We start from the raw sequence: 4,129 nt of genomic DNA on the forward strand, positions 1-4,129 counted from the left end.
ATTCTTTTGCCACTGCTATAGACCTCAGAGTCACAGAGCCCTGCAGGCATTGTTAGGTACAAATTCCTGGGCCTGGTGGTATCAGAACTGCTTTGTTTGATAGTCTTGTGTTCAACATTGTCAAAACCAATAAGCTGACAGAGACAAAACCACCTTTAACAGAAATGACACCTTAAAAAGGCTTAATTATGGATATGATACAAGCGCTTCACTACTACCTCAAAGAATGAGACAGCTTGCAAGAGCTGTTTTTTTTTTTTTTTTTTTTTTTTTTCCAGAACTGATGTAAATTAGAACATTTCCTAAGACAGGTCAGCCTACAGTAATTTTCCCGTTGACTTGTCATAAAATCAGGGGACAAGTTCCCATATCACAATGCAGGGCAGATGACAACCCCTTGTAATTTCTCTCGGCTTTTCACATTTGTTCATTTATGGTGTGGAAAATCGTCAGTGTGTGGCTCAGTGTTTAAGTAGGCTGATGGGAATCCCTCCGACGGTAAACCTGGCATATAGTGGGTGCTTAATAACTATCTTTTGGTTGCCTCTATGAAAACTGAACAGTCCTTCTGGCTCCTCTGTTCTCAAATGCCCAGCAGATGCTTCCAATATTTCAGCCATTCCAGCAACTCCAGGAATCCCCCTATATGTACATTTTCCTGTCAAATTGGCATGAATGTAAAACTGGGGCTTGGGTCCATTTTAAACAAATATGAAAAAACTAAATACAGCTTCGTATCATATGCCTGCAACATATATCTATCAGGTTGCAGATCCAGTCATCATTTAAATATCCCTGCTGTGTTTGGGGAATGTGCTTCCTTGTGAGCCCTGCCTCCCTAAGGTAGAACCTAGAGACACGTACCTTTCCTAGCCTTGGACTTCAAAAACTAGATGCACTCAAGAGAGATGTCCATGTGAAAAGAGGGCAAGAAGACAGAACTGGGGGAGTGCTTTTCCAGCCAGCAGTGATGAAGAGATATCCTGATGGGTAACAACAGTGGAAGAGGCCCATGTTCGGTATCCAGCATCTGTACTGGGATGAGGTGTCTGTGCCTAAGGGTGGAGATAGTGGGGTTTTTACTGACCAGGCTCATGGGGTGATTTGGGCATTGCTTCTGATTACATAGTCTCCAAGCCCAATGATGGCACTTCCATAGATTCTGTGAACTCTTGAATTAACACATTCCACTTGTACCCTTTCCGCTTAAACTAGCTAAAGAAGGTTTTGGTGTTTCCAGTTAGGAATGCTGACTGCTACGTCTACATTGTGTTAAATGCCACAGTAGCTATGAGGATACACTGGCAAATAAGAAATGAATGAAGCTTCCAAGATTTCACAGGCTAGAGACAGGAACAGACTCCAGCACATCAATGTAATACAGTGTGATCAGAGCTATGAGGTAGGTACATACGAAGACACTGGGTACAGCAAAGCAGAGGGGAGGGAAAGCCTGCATGGGAGGGTCTTAGGTGTGCACACTCTACTGTACCTTGGCAATGGGCCCTGGCTATAATGCAGACAGACCCTCAGACCACAACTCTATGGAGGGTTTGGTCCCACCCAGCCCTGGAAGCCTAGGACATCAGACATCTTAATCCTATCACCTAGTAGGGCTGAAAATTATACATGAGCCTGGCCAGGGATGCACAGGTGCAGCCTCAACTGCTGGGCTCCCTCTATCTTACTGCTAATCAGATCTGCTATTGGACTTCCTTCCTGAAGCGACAGCCTTGGCATGGGAACACACACAACTACAGGAAACTCCGGTTGCTCAGGTGGGGCATGCAGGGCAAGTGGAATTGGCTAGCAAGGCCAGTTTTTAACTTCACGTGAAATGAGCCCTAGCCTGAACACTTTAGTGGGAAAAGGCCTAAATAGTCACATGGGGGTGGGGGCAGCACCTGAAGACAGCATGCTTTCAATACCATCCTCTTGAAAGGTATCAGGATATGCTACCCCAAAACATGGCTCTTGGGCATTTGGATTCTTTTAAGCTAAAGGCAATTGAAAATCAAAAGACATAAGAAAAGCTCTAAAAAACAGGGCACAAATTTTCCTTTTGTAAAGGAAATTTACTTTTGTAAAAGGTGTCTCCCTCTCCCATACCAGGAAAAGGAGGACTCTTAACAACTCTTATCAGTGGAGAAGACACTGACTTAAATGTGCAGAAAACACCTTGCTAAACAGCCCTTGTTGACCATACTTTTCCTGGTCACCTTCCCAAAACTTGCCTCCCCCACCCAGAAGCCCAAATCCCCTTTTCCTTTGTTTTAGCCCAAGACAACATACAAACTAAATTCTAACCACCCCTTGAAGTTCCTCATCTCTGGTGCATCCATGTGTCAGTATGATGCACATGCTAATAAAATTCTGTTTACTTTTCTCTTGTTAATCTTTCTTTAGCTAGTCTCATTATGGGGCACCAACCAGAGAACCTAAGATGAGTAGAGGATAATATTTTTTTTCTACACTCTCATGGTCTGACCATCAATGCTGCCATCATGTGTTTCATTCTGCTTCCTTAAACATCTTTTTACAATAATCTTAACAACCTTAGAATACCATGGGTTGTGTGGGCAGCACAGCAAGGAGCCAGGACATAGCAAAAAGGGAGCATCTAGGGATCAAGCCCAAACTGGAAGCAGAGCAGGAAAATTGGGTGTGAAGAGGCTGGACAGAAGGGCAGGAATCCATCCACATGTGGGATGAGCAGGGAATGTGAATGTGTTGAGCGGTATGGTCCCCAAGATCAGGTATGCTCAGAGCAAAAGCCCAATAGCTGTACAGCCTCAAACCACCACCTCATTCCTTCCCCCAGGTTGGATCTTCCTCCACATCCTCAATGCCTACAGGGCTTTTCTGGTCCTAAGCAGAGATCTGTCAGAACAGACCATAACAGCAATGTCTGACTTCTGAACTACTCTACCACTCAAAAGCCTGGCTATTGTTCTGCCCGTGGAATTGAACCTCCTGGTAACTGGTTTTGCTTAAACCACAAATGAACTGTGCTGGATAATGTGCCAGGAACAGCCTCCAAATTGTAATTGGTTCCCTAAAGTGCTGTCTTAGTTTGTTCAGGCTGCTACAAAAATATTATAAACTCGGTGGCTTAAACAACAAACATTTATTGCTCATAGTTCTGGAGACTGGGAAATCCAAGATCAAAACACTGATAAATCTGATGTCTGGCAAGGGCCCACTTCCTGGTTTATAGATCATTGTCTTCTCACTGTGTCTTCACAAGGCTGAATGGGTAAGAGAGCTCTCAGGCCTCGTTTATAAGGGCACTAATCTCATTCATAAAGGTCTCACTCTCATGACCTAATTAACTCCCACAGGCCCCACCTCCTAATACCATCACACTGGGAATTAGGTTTAAACATATGAATTTTCGGGGGACATAAACATTCAATCCATAACAAGTGCCCTCCCCTACAGTAGAGTAGGGTTTTCCAAAATGTGGTCCTCCAAGGCTAGACACCAGACTCCTCTAGGTTGTATGTGGATCTGAGGGGAAATAACACTGTATCACAATGAGAATGTTGTTCCCCGTCAATTCTCCTATAATTCCTTCTTACATCAAAAAGGTAGTCTTAGCCTGGCTTTGGTGTATCTTTCATGCCTCCCTCATAGTTATTAATCTCTCTTTATAACAAAATAACCAGCCTCAAGCTCAGGACTTCCACTGGCAGCAATAATTAGCTAAAAGGTAATAATATTGTTTTGTGTTCATACAAAGGAATATAAACCTTTATTATTACCTATTGACATTCATGACAGTGGTATTAACTTCCCTTTTAAAAATAAATAAATGAATTTGAGTTACAGCAAAAGTGAGTAAAATATTAAAAGAATTATAAGGTCATAGATATGGCAGAAATTGAGAAAAACCTCAAATAACAGAAGTTTCTTGATCACCCCCTAAGATCTGGATCCTCATCCCGCTCCCTATTCTCTCACTCAGGCATAGTTCCTGGGGGTCCCACTTTGGGGCAGCCAGCCAAAGTCAGGGCACTTTAAGTCATTGGTGTTTGATTCTTTTATCTTGTTCAAATGGTTTCCATTGATGTTTGTCTTTCACCCCATTTGCCCATTATGGGGCGAACTCCTTGAGGGCAAATCTGAC

At 43.2% G+C, this 4,129-nt stretch overlaps 1 annotated feature.

The window, feature by feature from the left end:
• Positions 2,853 to 3,147: a silencer, noted in NCBI's record as "tiled region #15675; HepG2 Repressive non-DNase unmatched - State 22:ReprW, and K562 Repressive non-DNase unmatched - State 24:Quies". NCBI's record gives its function as "represses a minimal TATA promoter and a strong SV40 promoter by Sharpr-MPRA in HepG2 and K562 cells {active_cell/tissue: HepG2 | K562}" and the evidence as "EXISTENCE:reporter gene assay evidence [ECO:0000049][PMID:27701403]".

The sequence above is a fragment of the Homo sapiens genome, chromosome 2 (assembly GCF_000001405.40).
Source record: "Homo sapiens chromosome 2, GRCh38.p14 Primary Assembly".
Classification (NCBI taxonomy): domain Eukaryota; kingdom Metazoa; phylum Chordata; class Mammalia; order Primates; family Hominidae; genus Homo; species Homo sapiens.